The sequence below is a fragment of the Homo sapiens genome, chromosome 15 (genome assembly GCF_000001405.40).
Source record: "Homo sapiens chromosome 15, GRCh38.p14 Primary Assembly".
In the NCBI taxonomy this organism is placed as follows: domain Eukaryota; kingdom Metazoa; phylum Chordata; class Mammalia; order Primates; family Hominidae; genus Homo; species Homo sapiens.
Genome location: NC_000015.10, coordinates 66,038,944 through 66,051,520, shown reverse-complemented (window position 1 = coordinate 66,051,520; position 12,577 = coordinate 66,038,944). Strand labels below are relative to the sequence as shown.

Genomic DNA, 12,577 nt, shown 5'->3' with positions numbered 1-12,577 from the left:
CAACTCTTGTCTTCCCTCTGTGCTTTTTCTTCCCTGGATGGAGTTGAGACAGACTTCTCTGTTGGAAAAGGGGGTGTTTGACCTGGTAGGTCTGGGGTGGACCAGGTCTCAGAGTCTACTTCCTGAAAGTCTTGGCTTTTTTCCTGCTTCCCATCCCAGCCTCTTTAGTCTGAATGGGCTTGTCTGGCATGGAAAATGGAAGCAATGAGACCCAGGACTCTCCAGGGTCCACCCTTCTTCCCGCCAACACTCATCTCCCAGTCTTGACTCCCTGTACTTCCTCTCTGCTCCCCCAGCTGAGGCCTCAGTTTCTTCATCTGCAAAAAGGGAATAATACTAACAATAATAAAATAATAATACCTAACTTGTGGGGTTGTTGTGAGACTCCCATGAAATAATGGAGGTGAAAGCACTTTGTATGGTCAAGTGCTATGAGGCATAGTGTTCGTTGTAATGATTGTCCTTTGGGGCTCATATCTGTCACAGAAAAATGCCTAAGCCATGCTCCTCTGAACTGGATGCCCTCAGTCATTCCCTTGGGAAGAGCTCTCTGTAAATGCTGCCAGGTAAGGCTAATTATCTTTTAACTCAGGCATCTTCTTGCCCCAAGATAGGCTTTAAACCCCCAGAGGGCAGTGCCAGCCTCTGAAATGGCCCGGCAATCCCAGGGTGAGTGCTTGGCTGATCCCTGGCACATATGGGATTATGTGTGACCCTTCTGATGGTCAGGGTGGGCCCTGGCTGGGAAGATGTGTGGACTCCCCTGGAGCTGCAATGACCTTCTTCCTGGATTACAGCCAGAGTCTCCTAACTGCTCTCCATCTATTCTCTAATCCCAATAGCTACTCTCCATGCAGCTGTCAGAGTGGGCCTTTTAAAACATTGGTCAGGTCATGCCAGGCCTCCGATGGCTCCCATCACACTCAGGGTAAGAGCCGAAGCCCCATGTGGGTGTCTAAGGCCCCGTGTGATCCTTACCCACCTCTCTCACTCATTGCTAGCCTCCCTGACCTCCCTCCTGCCCCTTGCACATGGCAGGTCTCTCAGGAACCTCAGGGCCTTTGCACTGGCTGTTTCCTCTGCCTCCACATGGCTCACTGCTCGCTTCAGGTCTTTGCTCAAATGTGTCCTTGCTGAGGCTTTTCCTGACACTGTGTTAAAAGTGTAGGTCTCTACCCCAGCCCCCTCTTCCCCTTTCCCTACATATTGCTCTCCCACATTGGACAGTCTATTCCACGTATTGCATTTAGTTCTTTTGTTTATCCTCTGTCTTTTCCACCAGAATGTAGGGGCTCTAGTCAGGTGTGCTGATGTGCACCTGTAGTTCCAGCTACTCGGGAGGCTGAGACAGGAGGATTGCTTGAGCCCTGGAGTTGAAGGCTGCAGTGAGCTATGATCACACCACTGTAGTTTAGCCTGGGCAACACAGTGAGACCCTGTCTCAATTATATTTTTAAAAATTTTTAACACGGAATGTAGGTTCCATGAGAGCAGAGACTAGATTTGTCTAATTCTTGACTGTATCCTCAGTACCTAGAATAGTGCCCAGCCCATAAGAAGCCCTTGATAAATATTAGTTGCTTGAATGAATAAATGAATAAATGAGTGGATGAATAGATTACAGAGACAGAGAGGCCCTGGCTGGGCTAGACGCCGTGACTATTGGAAGTCGCCATCAGCTCTGGGAGAAGGGTGGGTTCTTGGCCAGAAGGCAGGTGGGGAAAAGGACCCTTTTACCTGCTTAGATCCTGAGGGAGTGAAGCTCTGGGCCCCATCCCAGTTGCCACTCTTTCTGCCTCTTCTTCCAGAGCAGAGAGAGGGTGTAAGGATGCAACAACAGATGCATCTGGAAACCACATATGTAATAATTCCCATAATCACTGGCACTCACTTTTCCAGAAAGCCAGCAAACCCGTTAACATGCAGCTCGACCTATACCCTGTAAAGTATGCAAATGGCATGGGGTGGGGAAAACGCTTCCACAGGCGCAAGTCCCCATTAAAAAAACATTGCTTCCCTCACTGCGGCACTTGGCCTGCAGATAGATTCTAAATGTCAATAGTTCCCCCAGTGAAGGCAGGCAGAAGGTTGAAAGGTCAGCCGTTTTAGGAAGCTAATTGCTATCAGTAAATTAGAACTATGAACACACCAGCCTTTCTCCTTTGTCACCTCTCCCCCTACCCCAACCCTTTTCCTGACCCAGGAGCCCCAGGTACGATGCAATTTAAAACCCAGAGTTGGAACCTAGAATACAGGCTTTCTGTGATGAGGAAGATAATAGGGACTAGATCCTACCCTCCTGAGAATAAGTGGATCCTCGCCTGGTTTGCAGTCAGTCCAGGAAATAATAGCCCATCTGGGAGCCAATACTTAACCAGTTCCAAAGGCAGGGGTGACTCCAGCTTATGCTGTGACTTTGCGGGGCTGAGGGATGCAATTTGGGCACTGTGGCTGCCTCCCCCAGAATGCCCACTCTGGCCCCAGCTCTCTTCTGCAGCCCTTCCTCTCATTATAGGACAAACCCCTGGTGGTCTCTTCTGAGAGGAGAGAGAGCTGGGCTGAAGGTCATTTAACCTCAGTTTCCCCAACTGTAAAATGAGAATGTAGAAAGCGTGCCCTTCCCAAGGCTGCCTTGAGGTCTGGAGGGGGTAATGCCTGTGGAGTGCTGAGCAGAGGGCCCCAGAAATTTCTACAAGGGGATAGCGTTAGGATTTTATCTGTCAATTCTGCTGCCTAGAACTTAACAATGTCACTTGTGGGGCAAGTTAGGCCCCTGTGGACTCACTTGCCCATCTGGGACCCTTAGAGGGCCAGGCCTTTCCCTCCCTTTTTGCCACCCACCAGCGTGGCAAGGTGGGCAGGAGGTTCAGTCTACCAGCCAGCATAGGCCAGGCACTTGGCGTCTGCAGACCAGCCCACAAGATGTCTCTGTGTGTGTTGCTTCCCTTGGTCATCAGTGAGCTGTCGGGGAGGTGTTTTGTGGGCAGGGAGTCAGGGTGGCTGGGTTCAGAAGCAGACTTGCTCACATGGCTGCTAAGCCCACAGAGCCCCTGGGCTGCAGAGAGAAGCCGTCTGTCCCTTGTTGAAATCCATGCCAATGGCTGTTTCTGCTTTCCTTTGAACCTCCCAGAGAAGGGTGCCTGCGGGGTCACCCCCTTGGTGACATAGTGCAGGATTGGGTGGCTTAGAGAGACACAGAGCTCTTCCTTGGGTCCTCTAACCCCTGCTCCTGTGAGCCTTCTCCATGAGCAGTTAGTAAAACAAACCCTCCTCCTGGCTGGGCGCGGTGCCTCATGCCTGTAATCCCAGCACTTTGGGAGGCCAAGGCGGGCAGATCACTTGGGGTCAGGAATTCAAGAGCAGCCTGGCCAACATGGTGAAACCCTGCCTCTACTAAAAATACAAAAATTAGCTGGGCGTGGTGGTACATGCCTGTAGTCCCAGCTTCTAGGGAGGCTGAGGCAGGAGAATCACTTGAACCCAGGAGGCAGAGGTTGCAGTGAGCTGAGATCACACCATTGCCCTCCAGCCTGGGTAGAGGCTCTGTCAAAAAAGAAAAAAAAAAAACACTCCTCCCAGGGCCCATGGAGATAACAATGTCCCCTCAGGCCTCCCCTCCACCCGAGGCCCAGTGTGACACCTTCTACTTCAGACCACGCTTCTGCCCCACGGGAGGGCATGTAGGCCAAGAAGCCATCTCTCAGCCCCAGTCCTGGGGGACGTCCCTGTAGAGCAGGCAGCCTGGCTGGCATGTTGCAAGAGCCGCTCGGCCCAGACTCCCCCAGGCCCACTGGGCCTCCTGCCTGCTGTCAACCCCTTTTGTTCTCACCTTTTCAAGCAGCTTCACTGGTGGTTTGGATGGAGTTTGTGGGCCAGGGAAAAAGGGATTAAAAACAGTAAGGACATAAAAGGACCTGAAGAAGGTGTCTATTCTAGACACCAGGTGTTATTCTTTATGGGATGGAACAGGTTATTCATGGCCATCATAAAGACTGGGGAGTTCGTGTTTATTATTCCCAGTGCTGTAGGTGTGTGCTCATATTTCATTTGATCCTTAATACAAGCTCATGAGGAGGGTAGAGTCAGTCCCATCTTGTAGATGAGGAAACCATGGCTCAGAGAAGACATGTAACTCGCCTAGCTAGGAAGTGGTAGAAGAAATCGAGGCTTAGAGATGTTCAGTAACTGGCCCCAGGTCACACAGCTAGGAAACGCCAAAGCTGGGATTGAATCCCACTTCTGTTTGTTGAACAACATACAACAACAAAAAAAGCTCTTTTCACTATGCCATGCTATTGACAACTGCCCAGCAGCTTTTTAAATGCCTGTTCTACACAGCAGGCATTTGGAGAGGACCTCACTGAATCCCTCATCTGTGGGGAGGGTGTTTGCCTCCTAAGTCCTCCTTTAAAAGGCAGAGGTCAGCACAACACCTGATGTGGCTCCCTTTCGACCCAGCTTTTCAGAATCTGCTGAGAGGTGAACTTCATGGGATGTGCTGAAATCTGTGTGTATTGATTTTGTACATTCACTGACAATATCACTTCCTGAAAGAGCAGTGTGTCACCTGCAGGGGGAACCTGGGGACCTCCCTGTCCTTGTTGTCCCCATTCCTCACAGTGATGCTGGGGATTGGAGTGAGGAGGGGAACTGGCAGATTGTACACAGGTGAGCCTTGGGCAGAGGGGAGGGAAAAATATGATAAGGGACAGCCTAGGCAAAGATACAGAGGCCAGCAAAGCCTACTGTGTGTGTTAGCAAAGTCAGGCTTGGCTGGGTATTGAGGCTCAGGGGCTGCATCTCTCCTCATCACTGCTCTGGGCTCTCTCTTTAGAAGTGGGCACGGTGTCTGCTACAAATGGGCAAATCCTTTAAGAACAAAGCAAACAAGGAAGCCCCCTTGGCCCCGGCACTCAGCCTAAGCCTGCGTGAGAAGTCTTAGCCAAGAGCTGAGGCCCTCAGCCTGCAGCAGCTGCAGAGAACCTGCAGGATGCTCGGCAGTGCCTGTCCCCAAAGTCTGACCATCCACCCAGCTCTGCCGTCCCTTCGGCTTCAGCTGAGCTCTAAAGAAAGCCTGACCACCACGTCCCGTGAGGTGCCTACACTGCATGCAGCCTGGGTACCTACACTTCTGGAGTCTGGGGTGTGCTTCCTCCATTAGGTTAAGAACTCTCAAAGGCTATGTGGGATATTTGGGAAGTTTGGATAGTCCAGATGGCGATTTGGGATCCTGGGTGTACGTTAAGGGCTGCAGGGGGAGGTAGTAAGCTAGGGGAAGAGAAAGAAGAAAATAAGGCAAGGAAGCGTGAGGAGTCAGCTTCCTGCTACTTAGTTGCCATGTGAACTGGAGCAGGTCCCTTCACCTTTCTGAGCCTCAGTTGCCACAGCTGCAAAATGAAGATACAGTAATCTTTTTTTGAGACAGAGTCTCACTCTGTTGCCCAGGCTGGAATGCAGTGGTGGGATCTCGGCTCACTGCAACCTCCGCCTCCCAGGTTCAAGCAATTCGCCTGCCTCAGCCTCCCGAGTAGCTGGGATTACAGGTGCATACCACCACACCATGCTAATTTTTGTATTTTTAGTAGAGACAGGATTTCACCATGTTGGCCAGGCTGGTCTTGAACTCCTGACCTCAAGTGATCCACCCACCTCGACCTCCCAAAGTGCTGGGATTACAGTCGTGAGCCACCGTGCCTAGCCAGGATACAGTCATCTTTATTGCACAGGGTTGTAGGGAGGCTCAAATGAGATAAGGGTGAAGAAAGTGCCCTGCCAACTGTAAACCACTCTGCAAACTGTAAAGCGCCCTGCCCACATAAAGCACTGCAGTTGTTAGAGACTGAGGGAGTTAGGGTATATGTCAGAATCACACCCACTCTTCTGTGTTTCATTTGGAGGTGACACATGTCACTCCATTCACAGCCTGCTGGCCCGGACTAGTCTTCCAGACCTGCCTGGCTACAAGGGGAAATGGAGTAGAGCCCATGGGCTGTTGGGTGGGCATTGATATCAAGCTGAGATGCTGAGCCAAGGGGTCCTGAATCAGAGCAACCACTGCCCAGGGCAATTCAGGGCTTGGGATGGGCAGGCGAGCCCTCAGAAAGTGCCTTAAGTGGACAGGCAGGCAGGCAGCAGCAGACTCCCCATCCCTCCCCTCTCTCCTGCCAAGCCTATGGCTCAGGACCCTTGGACAAAAGCCCTCCTGGGTTCTACAGCCACAGGGCTCTAGGCATCCACAGGAGAGCAGTGAGGTATGAGAGGCTCTGTCCTGCCATGGCAAACTGGAAGCCTCAGGTAGAGATAGTAGAGCTACAAAACAGAAATGCCTGGATTGCTGAATCTCTCATGAAGGCCAACCGCCCTGGGAAGCTGCCTGGACCCACAATAGATTTTGTATGAGCGATATATACATTTTTGTTATTTTAAGGCTTTTAGATTTGGGGGATGTTTATTATAGCAGCAGGACCCAGACTATCCTGACTTAATATACTTTTTCATCTTGCACTGTTTGAGCTTCATAATCCAGTCTGTCCTGCTGCAGGGCACTGCTAAGACTTTCTCCCAGCTCCTCGTTCTGTGGACACAAGCCTTATGGTTAAGACATCACCTCTCCATTCTCCTCACATTCCAGTTCAATTTCTTTTTTTTTTTTTTTTTTTTTTTTTTTTTTGAGATAAGGTCTCACTGTCATCCAGGCTGCAGTGCAGTGATGTGATCATAGCTCACTGCAGCCTCCAACTCCTGGGCTCAAGCAATTCTCCCGCCTCAGCCTCTCAGGTAACTGGGACTACAGGCACCTGCCACCACACCTGGCTATTTATTATTATTATTATTATTATTTTTAGTGATACGAGGTCTTGCTACCTTGCCCAGGCTGGTCTCAAACTTCTGGACTCAAGCAATTCTCAGTCTCCCAAAATACTGAGATTACAAGCATGAGCCAGCACACCAGTTCAATTTTTAAGAAAAGTGACCCCCTAATGCAGAAGTAAGAGGACATCTCATCACCTGTTTACTCTTGAGAATTATGGGCACCTCCTGGGGTGCTGGCCCTGTGTGTGGCATCAGAGATAGAAAGATGTACATTCTCCCTTTCTGCCTTGAAGAAGTTCACAATGTGGACTGGAGCACAGAGAGAACACAGTGTGGTAATGAGCAGGTGATGGATGGATTAATGAGTGGAGGGTTGGATGAAATGATCACAATTCAGTGTCTACTCCATTGCCCCTTCTCTCCTATTACCTTCCTTAGTACCAACAACTACTCTATAAGGTATGTATTATTTTCCCTAATTTATGGATGGGATTCGAACCCAGGTCTGGGTGATGCTAGCAACTATATTCCTTCCACATCACCTTGCCATAGTGGAGATGTTCATTGCTTTGTACAAGCTCCCCAAGGGTCGAGGTTTCCTCTCCTTTCTCAGATTAGACCCAGATCACTGCCTCCTGTGGGAAGCATTCTCAAAACTTTCCTCCATACACCACCCACTACACCAAGCACCCCTTGCATCTTTTCAGTTTTTGTTTCTTAAAAGCCTTATTGAGGAATATTTCAAATATATATAAAAGCAAAAGAATAATATAATGACTCCCATGTCATGATTACCCCACTCCCTTTCCCCCTTGCCCAGGCATCGTGCTGGTTGATCTGTAAATACTTCAGCATTTATGTGGTCGCTTACTTCTGTTCATCCTTCCCGCTCTGGGGCTGGTATTGGGTCTTTTTCATCTTCAATTCCCCAGTGCTCAGTTCACTAGAAACTGGGTGTGTCTGTTGAGTGAATAAATGACAGAGTCCCATGTGGGGACATGAGTAGGTTCCTGGTGCCTGTCACTGCCCCATTACAGCTTCTAAAGAGTCTGGCTTCTCAGCAGGGCCAGTTCTTCTGGGTAGGACGTTCCTTAGATTGCAGTGTGTGAAAACCTTTCTGTTGTGGTCATCTGGGACTCTGGATGCTGATAAAGCCTTCTCAAATATGGCTTCTTTTGTGTCAACATCACGCGGGCATAATTACATTCGCTGTGCAAACACACAGGCGAAGGGCCTCTGGGCCACGCAGTGTGGTATTATCGTGGCTTCTGCCCAGACATCCCTCAGAAGTCCTGCCAGGAGAGCAGATGGGGCCAGTTCAGTCCCCCAGGACGCCCCCAGCATCCCAGCTGGCCTGGCAAGGCCCTGTTCTTTGATCTGATTTCAGCCCAAGAGGACCCACAGAGCTGGTCAGCCCTGTGGCCCTGCTACATTTCTGACAGTGGCACTGAGAGACACTTAGACATGACCATTGGGTTGCCAACCACTGTTGAATACCTACTATGTGCTTGCACCTGCTGGAGTCAGAGGGAATAAGACTCAGACCCAGCCTCGAAGAGCTCTCAATATGTGAAGACAAGGAAAGCTCTAGAAGATAATATTTACCATAAGAAACAGCCATGGCCCCAGCCCGCCTTGTTTGCCTGAAGGACTCTCTTCTATCTCTGGCTGGGTCCCTGATTCGGAAGGATTGAGACAGCCCCTCAGAGTTTTGAGACATTCCCTGTTACAGGCTGAATTATGTCCCCTCTAAAAAAGCATATTGAAGTCCTAACCCCCAGTGCCTGAATGTGACCGACCTTATTTGGAAGTAGGGTCATTGCAGATGTCATCAGTTAAATTAAGATGAGGTCATACTGGAGGAGGCTGGGCACCTGATCCAGTATGCCCTGCAGTCCTAGGCCGTGTAAAGACATGCAAATGGGGGATCCCATGAGGTGGCCAAAGCGGAGCCTGCAGTTATGCAGCGGCCAGCAAGGAAGGCCAAGGATGCCAGCAAACCAGAAGCTGGGAGGGGCGAGGAGGGACTGCCCTAACAGGTTTCAGGGGGAGTGTGTCCCTGCCAGGACTTGGGATTTCAGAACTTCTACCTCTGGAACTGTGAGTTGATAAATGTCTGTGTTTTAAGCCACCCAGTTTGTGGTGGATTTTTACAGCAGTGCTGGGAAACTGATATGTTCCCCCCCAGTGCTCTGAGCTCCCTGGAAAAATATCTGTTCCCCAGAAGTTTATCTGAACCTTTCTTGGCCTCCATTCACAGCTCTGACGTCCCCTGGGTAATGAAATCTGTGCATTCTTGGCCGGGTGTGGTGGCTCATGCCTGTAATCCCAGCACTTTGGGAGGCCGAAGTGGGCAGATCACTTGAGGCCAGGAGTTCGAGACTAGCCTGGCCAACGTGGTGAAACCCCGTCTCTACTAAAAATACAAAAATTAGCCAGGTGTGGTGGTGCGCGTCAATAATCCCAGCTACTTGGGAGGCTGAGACATGAAAATCGCTGAACCTGGGAGGCAAAGTTTGCAGTGAGCTGAGATCACACCACTGCACTCCAGCCTGGGTGATGGAGTGAGGCTCTGTCTCAGGAAAAAAAAAAAAAAAAAAGGGAAAGAAATCTGTGCATTCTGTCTCTGCTACATGACCAAATACCTCCCTCTAATTGGCTCTAAGTTGTTGAGCTAGAGCCCTCCTTGTCCTGGGGGTCGAGGATCTTGTACATGAACCCTTATGATCAGAAAAGCTGCTTAAGGGTCAAGAGAGGCAGGATGATTTGGTTTTTAAGAGCATGGACTCAGGCTGACCCTGGTTTAGATCCCAGCTCTGCCACTTCCTTGCTGTATGACCTTGAGCACGTAACTTAGCTACTCTGTGTCTCATCTGTTTTCTCATCTGTAAAATGGGAGTGATGATATTATGAGCCCTAAACTCAGAGGGTAGTTAGAAGGCTTAAATGAGTTAATACAGGGATTGGCAAACTTTTTCTGTAAAGGACCAGATAGTAAATATTTTAGGTTTTGCAAACCACATACAAGGTTTCTGTCGCAACGATTCCACTCTGCTATTGGAGAGCAAAAGCAGACACAGGTAGCATACAAAGAAATGGCCTGCTGTGATTCATAAAGCCTTATTTACAAAAACAAATGGCAGGCAGGGTTTGACCCAGAGGCCACAGTTTGCCAACCTTTGAACAGTACATCGGAGGCACCTAGTGCAATGTGCAGCGCAAGGCGACCCTCCGTGCATGGGGGCAGTTGTTGTGGAGCACAGAGCCCTTTCTCATGCACAGTTCCATTCACTGTCATGGAAACCCTCTGAGGAAGGGGTTGTGGGTACCCCCACTCTGCAGACAGGAAATCTGAGGTCCAGAGAAGTTCTTCATCTTGTTCTGTAGTGAGCCTAAGGCAGAGAGCTTGCATTTTCTGCCCAGCAGTCTGTGAGCCTTAATAAACACAGTTTATCTCTTGCCCAGTCGATCAACTTACCAAAGACCTGTTCCGTGCCCAGAGCTGTATCCAGCTTAGACAGGAAGAACTGTTCCTGCCCCAATTTTCAAAAGTCAGCTTCTTATTTACCAATTGGGAAAAACAAACCTGCCCATCTCAAAGAGTTCTTTTTGCCATGCAGTCATTCATGGATTCTTGCTTATGTTCATTCATTTATTTATTTTCATTCAGGTATTTATGCACCAAACATGTACTGAGAGAGATATAGCCAGGACCAAACAGGCATGGTCTCGGGCAGGGCTATTGTCAGCCTAAGTGGCCTCTTTGTGAAAACCGGGGGGGAAAAAAAAAAAAAGTCCCTTCCTCTGAGTGGATACGAATCTATAGTAGGGCAGTTGAGGACTAGATTTCAGCCCCATTTTCCCCTTGGCCAGGTACCTTGAGCAGTGCACAACATACATAACCATGCATGGTGTTCCTGTTCCCTGGAGCTTCAGTCTACTAGAGGTTTCAACCATGGAAGTGAGTGATGACAGTCGTGATGTGAGTGCTCCGACAGCCAGATGAGGGACAGGCCCTGGAATGCCCTCCACTCCTCTCCTCATCCACTGGCTTCACCCTCCCCATTTAGCACTGCCACCTCTGTGCCCACATAATCAGCCCTTGGCATGAACCTTCCTCCCACCACCACTGTAGACAGCTTCCTCACCTTGTAGGACTTGGAGGGGGCCCTACCTGAAGGACAGAGAACGTATCGCTGTGAAATATACTTCCCGGTGTACCCAATCTGCATTAGTGTGTGTCATTAAAAGATGATTGTTATGTGAGAAAGAGGCCGGGATTGCATTAGTGAAACATCTGGAATTGTTTTAGTGTGCTGACGAAGAGCCAGTCCGAAGTGCCTCACTTTCTGCAGCCACCACCACCACAGGTGCTGAATCTGAGGGCCAAAGATCGAACCTGTAACCTGCCACCTCACCCAGGAAGCCCTCCTGAGCTGCTCCAGGTCACACTCAGCTCTCTTTCCCCTCTCTGAATTGTTAAACCACTCACTTTGGTGTCTAGCCACTTACTGTCTGCCATTGGCAACTGTTTCGACTGGGTTACATTTGTCTTCCTTGTTGGACAGTAAGCCCTCTGATACCACGTGAGGCATTTTCATCTCTTAAACCCCAGCGAACATCATTGAAAGACCAGCAGTTCGGACACTGTAACTGACACTTGCTACGAGGTAGGGATGAGAGAAGGCTGACCGTCACCCCACCGCCGCCTGACCCGGCTCAGGACCGTCACCCCACCGCCGCCTGACCCGGCTCAGGACCGTCACCCCACCGCCGCCTGACCCGGCTCAGGACCGTCACCCCACCGCCGCCTGACCCGGCTCAGGACCGTCACCCCACCGCCGCCTGACCCGGCTCAGGACCGTCACCCCACCGCCGCCTGACCCGGCTCAGGACCGTCACCCCACCGCCGCCTGACCCGGCTCAGGACCGTCACCCCACCGCCGCCTGACCCGGCTCAGAACCCTCAGCCAAATGGCTCACCTCTGCTCTGTCTGGAGGTGCCGGGCTTTGAGACAGTCCAGGCTTCCTAGAGGATGTAGTCCGGTGGAGAAAGCAGGGGTGGGAGGGGTGAAATCGAGACCTAGGTTGAAACTTAAACCCTGGTGCAGCCACTTAACGTAACCTGAGTTACGTTGGGCAGTCTACTCAACTCACTGTGTCTGTTTCTCTGTCTGTAAAGTAGGGAGAATGCCTATCTGTGAGAACCAAATGAAATGATAACAGTAAAAGGTCTAACTCAGTGCTCAGCACATTAGAGAGCAAATGCACATATCCACTCTCTTCCCTCTTCCCGTAGGCAGGAGACGTGGTCCCCAGGCTGAAGTTAGGCTGAGATCAAGAATCACTGAACTCCCCTCCTCCTCAGCTGTCAGGACCTGCTCTGAGCAAAGCCTCTCCCGCCACCTCTGGGAGTGGGTGGGGTCACCGCAGTTCCATTCCTGGGAGCATTTATCCTTGCTGACCTCTTCGCTGTGGAATGGAAGTTCCTCTGTCTTTTCATGTCTGCTCAAGGGCGATGTTTTTCGGTGGAGTGATGCATCCCATCGCTGCCATCCCTCAAATTCTATCGCATAGGTAGTCACCTCATTACCCTGTAGAAAATGGACCCATTTATCATTCATTTCTCCTTTGGTAGGGCTGAGGTGGAGCCCGAGACTGCATTTCCAGCAAGTTCACAGGAGACAGTCCTGCTGGTGCTGCTGGCCTGGGGACTGTAATTTGAGAACCATTCCCTAGACTGCACTGGCAGGAGTATGTGCCC

At 50.4% G+C, this 12,577-nt stretch overlaps 1 protein-coding gene and 1 non-coding gene across 24 annotated transcripts in view, besides 1 other annotated feature; one reads left to right on the top strand and one right to left on the bottom strand.

Annotated features, from left to right (window-relative positions):
- Nucleotides 1-12,577, top strand: part of MEGF11 (multiple EGF like domains 11) — a 358,452-nt gene that overhangs the window by 202,230 nt on the left and 143,645 nt on the right. The gene's annotated exons all lie outside the window — the stretch shown is intronic.
- Nucleotides 2,491-3,366: an enhancer, noted in NCBI's record as "H3K4me1 hESC enhancer chr15:66340493-66341368 (GRCh37/hg19 assembly coordinates)". NCBI's record gives its function as "activates a minimal SCP1, AML or CMV promoter by ChIP-STARR-seq in primed H9 embryonic stem cells {active_cell/tissue: H9 hESC(primed)}" and the evidence as "EXISTENCE:reporter gene assay evidence [ECO:0000049][PMID:30033119]".
- MIR4311 (microRNA 4311) lies at nt 11,189-11,288 on the bottom strand. The gene has a single exon (NR_036196.1). It is a non-coding gene; the product is annotated as a microRNA 4311 (primary transcript).